This window comes from Homo sapiens, chromosome 3, assembly GCF_000001405.40.
Source record: "Homo sapiens chromosome 3, GRCh38.p14 Primary Assembly".
NCBI lineage: Eukaryota > Metazoa > Chordata > Mammalia > Primates > Hominidae > Homo > Homo sapiens.
Window position 1 is genome coordinate 128,691,076 of NC_000003.12, and position 12,022 is coordinate 128,703,097.

A 12,022-nucleotide genomic window follows, 5' to 3' on the forward strand; every position below is an offset into this window, starting at 1 on the left:
AAAGGGTTCTGGTATATTTATGGGAGGCCATTGATTTGGTTTTTTTGTTTGTTTGTTTTATGAGACACGGTCTCACTCTGTTGCCCAGGCTGGCGTGTAGCGATGCCATCATGACTTACTGCAGTCTTGACCTCCTGGGCTCAAGCGATCTTACCACTTCATCCTCCCCGGTAATTGGGACTACTATTTTTTTGTAGAGAAGAGGTTTCATCATACTGCCCAGGCTATTGTTGAACTCCTGAGCTCAAGGGATCCTCCCACCTCGGCCCCTGAAAGTGCTAGAATTACAGGTGTGAGCCACAGTGCCTGGCCAAATGGAGGCCATTGATTTGTACTGAGCTCCTCCTACACTAGGCCCCTACAGGCTGACCCAAAATGGAGTCACTCATGCTAAGGTTCCATGTCACCAAACTGAAACCTAAGCTGTTTGCTTATAAGATCTGACCTTAGGGCTGGGCGTGGTGGCTCACGCCTGTAATCCCAGCACTTTGGGAGGCCGAGGCGGGTGGATCACTTGAGGTCAGGAGTTCGAGACCAGCCTGACCAACATGGTGAAACCCCATCTCTACTAAAAATACAAAAATTAGCTGGGTGTGGTAGTGCATGTCTGTAATCCCAGCTACTTGGGAGGCTGAGGCAGGAGAATTGCATGAACCCAGGAGGCAAACGTTGCCGTGAGCTGAGATCGTGCCACTGGACTCCAGCCTGCGCAACAGAGCAAAACTCTTGTCTAAAAAAAAAAAAAAAAATCTGACCTTCTGAGAAATCAGGAGAGAGGCAACAGTCAAATCCCCAATAGGTCAGTTTTACAAAAAAATAGATTCACAGCAACCAATCAAAAGGGGCCCATTCAACCTAAGCTGCTTGATAAGGAAGTCCCCTCTGCTTTAAGCCATGCAAGGAAAGTAACCCGAAGGAACCTAATGTTAACCAATCCACTTTTTTTTTTTTTTTGAGATGGAGTCTCGCTCTGTAGCCCAGGCTGGAGTGCAGTGGCGCAATCTCGGCTCACTGCAACCTCCGCCTTCCGGGTTCACGCCATTCTCCTGCCTCAGCCTCCCAAGTAGCTGGGACTACAGGCGCCCGCCACCAAGCCCGGCTCATTTTTTTTGTATTTTTAGTAGAGACGGGGTTTCACCATGTTAGCCAGGATGGTCTCGATCTCCTGACCTCGTGATCTGCCCTCCTTGGCCTCCCAAAGTGCTGGGATTACAGGCATGAGCCACCGCGCCCAGCCAACCAATCCACTTTTTCCACTATGCTGTTTCCTTGTTCCTGGTCAAGCTGCCTGCCTTAGAAAAACCTACTGCTCTGCCATGCCTGGTAGAGCTCCTGTCTATTTTGTAGGCTGGATGTTGCTCAGTTCATGAATCACCAATAAAAGCTAATTAGATCTTTATTTTTTTTACAGACAGTGTCTTGCTCTGTCACCCAGGCTACAGTGCAGTAGTGCAATCCTAGCTCACTGTAACCTTAAACTCCTAGGCTCTGGTGATCCCCCCACCCCGGCCTCCCAAAGTAAGGAGATTACAAGCATGAGATACCACATCTAGCCAAATCTTTAAAACTCAATGTGTTGAAATTGTGTTTTTGACACAACACACAGAATAGGAGAAAATATTTGTGAATCATATATCTGATAAGAGATTAATATCCAGAATGCATGCAGAACTCCTAAAACTCAACAACAGAAAACCCATTTTCAAAATAAGCAAGGGTTGCACAGCAATCTGAACATACTTAATATCTGTGTGAGATAGAGGAACAAACCTAAGTGATTTTTCCTACTCTTACCCAGTCACTCAACACTGCCAACAGCAGATATGCGGGGGTTATTTCCCCACACACCAAACATCGATTCTGCGGATTCCCCAGTAGACATCAGCTGGGTGTCCTCCAGTTCAGTTCTGACACCATCTACCTGGAGATAGTGTCAGATCCCACAGGTTGAGGGCTCTAGTCCCACAAGGCTGCCCCCCACTTCAGATGCTGCAAGCACGGGTCGTGGTCTGTGCTTCTGACCAATTGGCTATAAACTGGGGCTCCCAGGATTTATTTAATTGGCTAGTGTGGCTCACAAGACTCAGGGAACCACTTACTGATGTATACTGGTTTCTTATAAAGGATATTACAAAGAATACAGATGAACACTGTAATCCCAGCACTTTGGGAGGCTGAGCGAGGCAGGCAGATCACCTGAGGTCAGGAGTTGGAGATCAGCCTGGCCAACATGGCAAAACCCCGTCTCTACTAAAAACATAAAAATTAGCTGGGCATGGTGGCATGTGCCTGTAGTCCCAGCTACTCAGGAGGCTGAGGCATGAGAATCGCTTGAACCTGGGAGGTAGGGGTTGTGGTGAGGCAAAATTGTGCCACTGCACTGCAGCCTGGGCAACAGAGTGAGACTCTGTCACAAGCAAGCAAACAAACAAACAAAAAAACAGATGAACAGCCAGATGGACGAGATGCCCAGGAAGAGGTGTGGGGAAGATGCACAGAGTTTCTATGCCTTCTCTAGGCATGCCCCTCTCCAGGAATCTGCCTGTGCTCAGCTGTTGGGAAGCTCTTCTGAACCCTGTCCTTTTGGGTTTTTAGGGAGGCTTCATGACCTACACAACTGACTAAATCATTGGCCTTTGGTGATCAACTCAGCCTTCAGCTTCTCTCTCCTCCCCAAAGTCAGGGGGCTGCTGAAAGTTCCAACCATCTAATCACAGGTTGGTTCCCTTGTCAACCAGCTCCAATCCTGAGGATATCAGGGATCTGCCAAGAGTTCCCTCATTAGAACAAAAGAGCTCCGCTCCTGTCACCCAGGAAATTCCAACAGATTTAGGAACTCTGTGTCAGGAACCAGGGTCAAAGACCAAATGTTAGAACAAAAGATTGTCTTAGCACCCCTACTGCTTAGAAAATTACATGAGTATTAGGGGCTCTGTGCCAGCAACTGGGGCAGAGACCAATGTGTATATACATATATACGTGTGTATATATGTATGTATATATATGTGTGTGTATATATATATTATTTATTTTTTTGTTTTTGGAGATGGAGTCTCGCTCTGTCGCCCAGTGTGGAGTGCAATAGCGAGGTCTCGGCTCACTGCAACCTCTGCCTCCCAGGTTCAAGCTATTCTCCTGCCTCAGCATCCCAAGTTGCTGGGATTACAGGTGCCTGCCACCACGCCTCGCTAATTTTTGTATTTTTAGTAGAGATGGGGTTACACCATGTTGGCCAGGCTGGTCTCCAACTCCTGACCTCGTGATCTGCCTGCCTCGGCCTCCCAAAGTACTGGGACTACAGGCATGAGCCACTGTGCCCGGCCCTTTTTTATTTTATTTTATTTTATTTATTTATTTTTTTTTGAGACGGAGTCTTGCTCTGTTGCTCAGGCTGGAGTGCAGTGGCACAATCTCAGCTCACTGCAAGCTCCGCCTCCTAGGTTCACGCCATTCTCCTGCCTCAGCCTCCCGAGTAGGTGAGACTATGGGCACACGCCACCGAGCCAGGCTAATTTTTTCTATTTTTTAGTAGAGAGGGGGTTTCACCGTGTTAGCCAGGATGGTCTCGATCTCCTGACTTCATGATCCGCCCACCTCAGCCTCCCAAAGTGCTGGGATTACAGGCATGAGCCACTGCACCCAGCTGGCCCTTTTTTATTTTTTGAGACCGTCTCTCTCTGTCGCCCAGGCTGGAGTGCATTGGTGAGATCTCGGCTCACTGCAACCTCTGCTTCCTGGGTTCAAGCAATTCTCCCTGCCTCAGCCTCCCAAGTAGCTGGGATTACGGGCGCCCACCACCAAGCCTGTGTAATTTTTTTTTTTTTTTTTTTTGAGACAGAGTTTCACTCTTGTGGCCCATGCTGGAGGGCAGTGTCACAGATCGGCTCACTGCAACCTCTACCTTCTGGCTTCAAGCAATTCTCCTGCCTCACCCTCCCGAGTAGCTGGGATTATGGGCATGTGCCACCACCCCTGGCTAATTTTGTATTTTTAGTAGAGATGGGGTTTCACCATGTTGGCCAGGCTGGTCCTGAACTCCTAGCCTCAGGTGATCTGCCTGCCTCGGCCTCCCAAAGTGCTGGGATTACAGGCGTGAGCCATCATGCCTGCCTAATTTTTGTATTTTTAGTAGAGATGGGGTTTCGCCGTGTTGGCCAGGCTGGTCTTGAACTCCTAACCACAGGTGATCTGACTGCCTCAGCCTCCCAAAGTGCTAGGATTACAGGTGTAAGCCACGGCATCAGGCCAATATTTATTATTATCTTACAATGCCATTAAACAATACACTTAAACATTGTTGGCTGGGCACAGTGGCTCACATCTGTAATCCCAGCACTTTGGGAGGCCAAAGCAGGCAGATCACCTGAGGTCAGGAGTTTGAGACCAGCGTGGCCAACATGGTGAAACCTCATCTCTACTAAAAATACAAAAATTAGCTGGGCGTGGTGGCAAACACCTGTAATCCCACCTACCCAGGAAGCTGAGGCAGGAGAATCACTTGAACCCAGGAGGCGGGAGTAGCAGTGAGCTGAGATCACGCCAATGCACTCCAGCCTGGGTAATAAAGCGAGCCTCTGTCTCAAAAGAAAAAAAAAACTGTTAAGCCAGGTGTAGTGGCACATGCCTCTAGTTCCAGGTACTCAGGAGGCTGAAGCAGGAAGATTGTTTGAGCCCAGGAGTTCAAGACCAGCCTGGGCAACACAGCAAGACCCGCCTGGGCAACACAGCAAGACCCTGTCTCTTAAAAAAAAAAAAAAAAAAAAAAAAAAAAAAAAAAAAAAGCCAGGCATGGTGGCTCACGCCTGTAATCCCAGCACTCTGGGAGGCCGAGGCGGGTGGATCACCTGAGGTCAGGAGTTTGAGAGCAGCCTGGCTAACATGGTGAAACCCCATTTCTACTAAAAAAACAAAAAATTAGCCAGGCGTGGTGGCGCGATCCTGTAATTCCAGCTACTCGGGAGGCTGAGGCAGGAGAATTGCTTGAACCCGGGAGGCAGAGGTTGCAGTGAGCCGAGATCGCGCCATTGCACTCCAGCTTGGGCAACAAGAGCAAAACTCCATCTCAAAAAAACAAAAGAAAAAAAAGAAAAGAAAACCACACACAAACACACAAAAGTTAAAATTATAAATTTTGTTATGTGTATTTTACTACAATTTTTAGATCTTTTTTAAAGAACAGGCAAAGTACTTGAATAGATATTTCTTCAAAAAAGAAATACAAATAGCCAAAAGCTCATAAGAAGATATTCAACATCACTAATCATTAGGGAAATGCAAACCAAAATTCCACAATGAGGTATCACTTCACACCAATTGGGATGACTGTTACCAAAAAATCACAAAACAGGCCAGGTGCGGTGGCTCACGCCTGTAATCCCAGCACTTTGGGAGGCCAAGGCAGGTGGATCACTTGAGGTCAGGAGTTCAAGACCAGTCTGTCCAACATGGTGAAACCCTGTCTCTACAAAAATAAAAACATTAGCCAGGCATGATGGTGGGTGCCTCTAATCCTAGCTACTCGGGAGGCTGAGGCAGGAGAATTGCTTGAATCTGGGAGGCAAAGGTTGCAGTGAGTCAGGATCATGCCATTGCACTCCAGCCTGGGTGACAGAGCAAGATTCCATCTCAAAAAAAAAAAAAAAACCCACAAAACAGGCCAGGTGCAGTGGCTCACACCTGTAATTCCAGCACTTTGGGAGGCCGAGGCAGGAGGATTGCTTGAGCCCAGTTCGAGACTAGCTTAGGCAACACAGGGAGTCCCCATCTCTACAAAATAAAAAAAAATTAGTTGGGCATGGTCGAACATGCCTGTGGTCCCAGCTACATGGGGTCTGAGGTGGAGGGATCCCTTGAGCCCAGGAGGGTGAAGCTGCAGTGAACCCTGATCAGGCCACTGCACTCCAGCCTGGGGTAAAGAGCGATATCCTGTCTCAAAAAATAAAAAAGAAACTTTAAAAAACGTTTTTAAAAATTAAAATTTTAGCCAGGTGTGGTGGCTCACGCCTGTAATCCCAGCACTTTGGGAGGCCAAGGCGGGCGGATCACAAGATCAGGGGATCGAGACCATCCTGACTAATGTGGTGGAACCCCGTCTCTGCTAAAAATACAAAAAATTAGCCGGGCGTGGCGTGGTGGCACGCTCCTGGAGTCCCAACTGCTTGGGAGTCTGAGGCAGGAGAATCGCTTGAACCCAGGAGGCGGAGGTTGCAGTGAGTGGAGATCGTGCCATTGCACTCCAGCCTGGGCAACAGAGCGAGACTCTGTCTAAAAAAAAAAAAAAAAATTTAAAGATACCAGTCTGGGCAACAAAGTGAGACTCCATCTCTACATAAAATTAAAAAATAAAATAAAAAATTTAAAAAATACGAAAAGTAACCACAATAGAATACTGAATCTCCAAGAACACATCACCAGCTTCTATAACATAAACTAGTGGCCAATCTTGTTTCTTCACTGCCTGTGAGAACACAGGACTTCCTGTGTCCTCATTGTCCTCATTTATTCTGAAGCAAATCGCTTTTTTTCTTCTTCTTCTTTTTGAGACAGAGTCTCGCTCTGTCGCCAGGCTGGAGTCCAATGGCCCAATCTCGGCTCACTGCAACCTCCGTCTCACGGGTTCAAGAAATTCTCCTGCCTCAGCCTCCGGAGTAGCTGGGACTACAGGCGGCGCGCCACCATGCCTGGCTAATTTTTGTATTTTTAGTAGAGACGGGGTTTCACCATGTTGGCCAGGATGGTCTCGATCTCCTTACCCCGTGATCTGCCCGCCTCGGCCTTCCAAAGTACTGGGATTACAGGCGTAAACCACCGCGCCCGGCCTTTTTTTTTTTTTTTTTTTTTTTTTTTTTGAGACAGAGTCTTGCTTCGTCGCCCAGGCTGGAGTGCGCGATCTCGGCTCACTGCAACCTCCGCCTCCCGGGTTCAAACGATTCTTCTGCCTCAGCCTCCCGGGTAGCTGGGACTACAGGCTCGTGCCACCACGCCCAGCTAATTTTATATTTTTAGTAGAGACGGAGTTTCGCCATATTGGCCAGGTTGGTCTCGAACTCTCGACCTCGTGATCCGCCTGCCTCGGCCTCCCAAAGTTCTGGGATTACAGGCGTGAGCCACCACGCCCGGCCGCGAATCACATTTTTAAAAATTGCTGGAAGAACGCCCTTCCCCGCTCCCGCCTCGGTGACAAACAGGCTTCCCAGGGCCCAGAAGGCTGTACGCAGACGCCACCACCCTGGCCCCTGCACTCCTGCGTGAGCGACTTCCATTCGGGACGGCTCAGCCGCCCGCTACCGCAGCCTTCCCGCCTGGGTCTCCCACAGGCCTCCCGGGGCACCTAGAACTGCGTGCCTCACGCGGGCCCCGCTGGGCTCCTCACCCGCTCAGCCACTGCCACCTGCCTGGGACCCTCCCCCTGCGGAGCGGGATGTTTGGCGGGGAGAAATGCGGAGGGGAACCCTAGGCTGGCGGCTTTCCTCCTTCCGCAGAACCCACGGTCCTGATCTCCGGCCGCCTCCTTCTGACCCGGGGTTCTGGCCCCCTCCTCCCCCAGGACCTCAGCGCGGCACCCCACCCACCACCCCCCGCCCCCAACCCAGGCCAGCTGTCTCTTTTTCCTCAGGGGTCGGGCTCCCAGCCTCTGCCCTCCACAACCACCCGCCTGCCTCACCAGGGCCCAGCCTGGCCCCTGGGAGCGGCCACAGCGCCGAGCCGTTTTTCCCCCGACAACAGCAGCCCGGAGCCTGAGCTGCCATTCCCGTCCCGCTGGGGACCCAGCGTCGCTTGGGGAGGGCTGGCCGCAGGCTGCGGGGTGGAGGCTGCTCCAGCCGCCTAAGGGTGCCTGCAGAAGCTTCTCCCGGCGCCCTCCCCTCTCCAGCCCCGGGCAGCTCACACGCCTCAGGTTTTTTCTTTACCTTCCCCTTTCTCCCGGAACCACTTGAGGATAGGTTAAAGACATCTTTTTGCTTAACCCCTACCTTCAAGGTTTATTTCCTAAGAACAAAGCCATTCTGTTAGAAACCCCGTCTCTACTAAAAATACAAAAATTAGCCGGGCGTGGTGGCGCGCGTCTGTAATCCCAGCTGCTCCGGAGGCTGAGGCAGGAGAATCGCTTGAACCCGGGAGGCGGAGGTTGCAGTGAGCCGAGATCACGCCACTGCACTCCAGCCTGGGCGACAGAGTGAGACTCTGTCTCAAAAAAATAAAATAAAATAAAATAAAAAGATACAATACCGTTACATAATTCACAGTCCATGTTCAGTTTGTTCAATTGTCCCAACAATATCCTTTGTGGCTTTTCCCTGCCTAGTCCATCCAAGATCCATTAAGGTGCATTGCATTTTGTTGTCACACCTCTTTAGTCTCTTAATCCAGAAGAGTTTATCAGCCTTTGTCTTTTCTAATCTTGATTTTTAATTTATATTTTATTTATTATTATTATTATTATTAATTATTTTGAGACAGAGTTTCGCTCTTGTTGCCCAGGCTGGAGTGCAATGGCTCACTGCAACCTCTGCCTCCCGGGTTCAAATGATTCTGCTGCCTCAGCCTTCCGAGTAGCTGGGATTACAGCTTGGTGTTGAGAACATTCAGTATCCCAGACAGGGTCTCACTGTACTACCCAGGCTGGGGTGCAGTGGCTATCGTACACTACTGCCTCGAACCCCTGGGCTCAAGCACACTTCCTGGCTCCGCCTCCCAAGGAGCTGGGACTACAAACACGTGACACTCGTGCAGGCTTCATGATTGTAGTTTAGCACAATATTACGAATGTTAAATGTGATCATTTGGTTAAGGTGGGGTCTACCAGATTTTTCCACTGTAAAGTTATTATTTTATTTTATTTTACTGGTTTTTTGAGACAGAGTCTCGCTCTGTCACACAGGCTGGAGTGCGGTGACACGGTCTCAGCTCATTGCAACCTCCCACTCCTGGATTCAAGTGATTCTCCTGTCTCAGCCTCCCAAGTAGCTGGGACTACAGGTGCTCGCCACCACGCCCAGCTAATTTTTGTATTTGTAGTAGAGATAGGGTTTTACCATGTTGGTCAGGCTGGTCTTGAACTCCTGACCTCAGGTGATCCACCCATCTTGGCCTCCCAAAGTGCTGGGATTACAAGCGTGAGCCACCACGCCCAGCCAAATTATTATTTTACAATTCACAATTGTACACACATATTTTGAGACCAACGTGTTTTTTGTTTGTTTGTTTTTTTGAGACCGAGTCTCACTCTGTCGCCCAGGCTGGAGTGCAGTGGTGTGATCTCGGCTCACTGCAACCTCTGCCTCCCAGGTTCAAGCAATTCTCCTGCCTCAACCTCTCAAGTAGCTGGGACTACAGGCACATGCCACCAGGCCCTGCTGATTTTTGTATTTATAGTAGAGATGGGGTTTCACCGTGTTGGCCAGAGTGATCTTGAACTCCTGACCTCAGCTGATCCACCTACCTCAGCTTCCCAAAGTGCTAGAATTACAGGCGTGAGCCACCAAGCCTGGCCTCCAACATGCTTTGTTGTTGTGTTTTTTGTTGGTGGTGGTGGTGGTGGTTTTGTCGTTGTTGTTGTTGTTGTTTTGAGACGGAGTCTCACTCTGTTGCCCAGGCTGGAGTGCAGTGGTGCAACCTCAGCTCACTGCAAGCTCTGCCTCCCGGGTTCACACCATTCTTCGGCCTCAGCCTCCTGAATAGCTGGGACTACAGGCGCCCGCCAACACGGCCGGCTAATTTTTTTGTATTTTTAGTAGAGACGGGGTTTCACCGTGTTACCCAGGATGGTCTCGATCTCCTGACCTCGTGATCCGCCCGCCTCAGCCTCCCAAAGTGCTGGGATTACAGGTGTGAGCCACCATGCCTGGCCTGTTGTTGCTTTTTAACTAAGTAGGGGAATGAAAAGGATGCACCTCGGAAGAGGGTTTGGTAAAAAGTTTGCTTCTGGGATCCACTCTCCTCTCACTCACCTAGTTCCCAGATCCCTCTGTCATACTTACCATTGCTCTCTTCCAGCCCATCCATTTCTGCCCTGGATATCTTCAGAGCCAGTGGCTGAATGAGGCCTTGGGGAGCATTTCTTCAAACTTAGGGCCTAAAAGATGCTAGGGCAATGGTTCTCAAAAAGGTTTTAGTATCTAAAACAGATAAAAGGGAAGTTGTTTTGGCGGGAGCAAGAGCAGGGGGCTGCAGCCACCCCCAGAAGACCTTCTCCCCAACTAGCTGGCCTCTGAAGTACCCCATTCCACACCCTGGGAAAGTATGGAAATCTCTGGCTTATCAGGCACACCAGTGGCATCTAGCTCCTCAGGAAGGCTGGCTTGGACCTTACCCACCTCTCGTATGCTGCTTCATACAACATTGGCCTGAGTCCTGGGGCCAATGGCTTTTGAGAAAGAACTCGGCCTGTCATCAGGCAGCATCCCCATCCCCCTGCACCATCACTGCTGCTCTTTCTGTACTGTCTTCCTGGAATGCAGACTGCAGGCCAGAGACTGCACAAGGAAAAGCAGCAGAGACCCAGCCAGCCCATCTCTCCTCTCTGCCCTGGAACCTGAATGCAGCTGCTTTCCTCCAACCTGCACCATTGAGGAAGCAGCCAGGTTGGAGACTCAGGCGGAGGGCCTGGCAGATTTCCTGAGTGCTCTCTGCAACAGACCAGGCCCACCAGAGGGGAACTGGGATCTGGCAAATGACCACAGCCATCAGGAAGTGGCCTGGAAGAGTTTTCACTTCTCCAAAGATATTGTTCCTGGTAGCTCCAGGGTCTATATATAAGACAAAGGAGGTGGGGGGTAGGAGGGCAGTGAAGAAGACATTGGCCAGGATCAAATCCCAACCTTGTTACGTGATCCTGACAGGTCATTTCAACCTTTAACCCACAGTTTCCATTCTAAAGTGGAGGCAAAATAAGCAGCGCCTACGGTTGTTATGACGACTAATGTAATCCTGCAGCGGGCTTTCCAAATGTCAGAAATTGGAATGATAACTGCACAAATCTGTGCTATACCGTCATGCCAGTTCTATTATGCTATTGTTTATCTAAGATTTCCCCTAACTGCTTTGCTTTTTAAACATGGGCATGTCCGAAGCAAAGCTGCTTGAAAATTGGGTTTATTTTACAGGTTATTGTTTCCTACTCTACTTAAATAGACGATTGCTAAAATAAAAAAAAATGTTCATCTATATTCACTTCCTCCTCTTTGTTTCTGAATCCTCTACCACTACCCTTCCTCTCCTCCAGTCTCCAGCTTTGTTTATAGGGAAATAGGTTCAAAATCTCAGTGATGACAGGTGTTTTAACTCGTTTGGTATACTGTTGCAGACAGTTGACCCTGGTCATGAACAGGATTGTACAATCCTCACCTTTAAGTGTGGAAGAGAGGACCAATGGTGTCACAGAAGCAAGATCCCTACAGAGAAGGCTTTTATATTTGCCCTAACTTGCCCTCAGGAATGATCTAGCCTTCACCTGCAGCAGACCAGGCCAGAAGAGTTTTCTGGTGGGGGTGTCCACATTGCCTTGTGGACGTAACAGGCTCTCCAAAATGTGAGCCAGAGCCTGAATTCGAGCCATGTTTTAGCTGGAATTCAGCTGGGCAGTCAAACCACGTACCTTCTGCATTAATCAGGGCTCAGTTACAGAAGACATGCCATTCTAGCCATTTTCATCAGAAAGGCATTTAATACAGGTGATTAGATGCTTACAAAATCTTAGAGGACCTAAAGAAAGGGGCTCTGGTGGACCTCCAAGATTGTGCCCAGAACTTGGCTGGGCGTGGTGGCTTACATCTGTAATCCCAGCACTTTGGGAGGCCGAGGCGGGCGAATCAGCCAAGGTCGGGAGTTCGAGACCAGCCTGACCAACATGGAGAAACCCTGTCTCTACTAAAAATATAAAATTAGCTGGGCATGGTGGCACATGCCTGTAATCTCAGCGACTCAGGAGGCTGAGGCAGGAGAATCGCTTGAACTCAGGAGGCAGAGATTGCAGTGAGCCGAGATTGCGCCGTTGCACTCCAGCCTGGGCACCAAGAGTGAAACT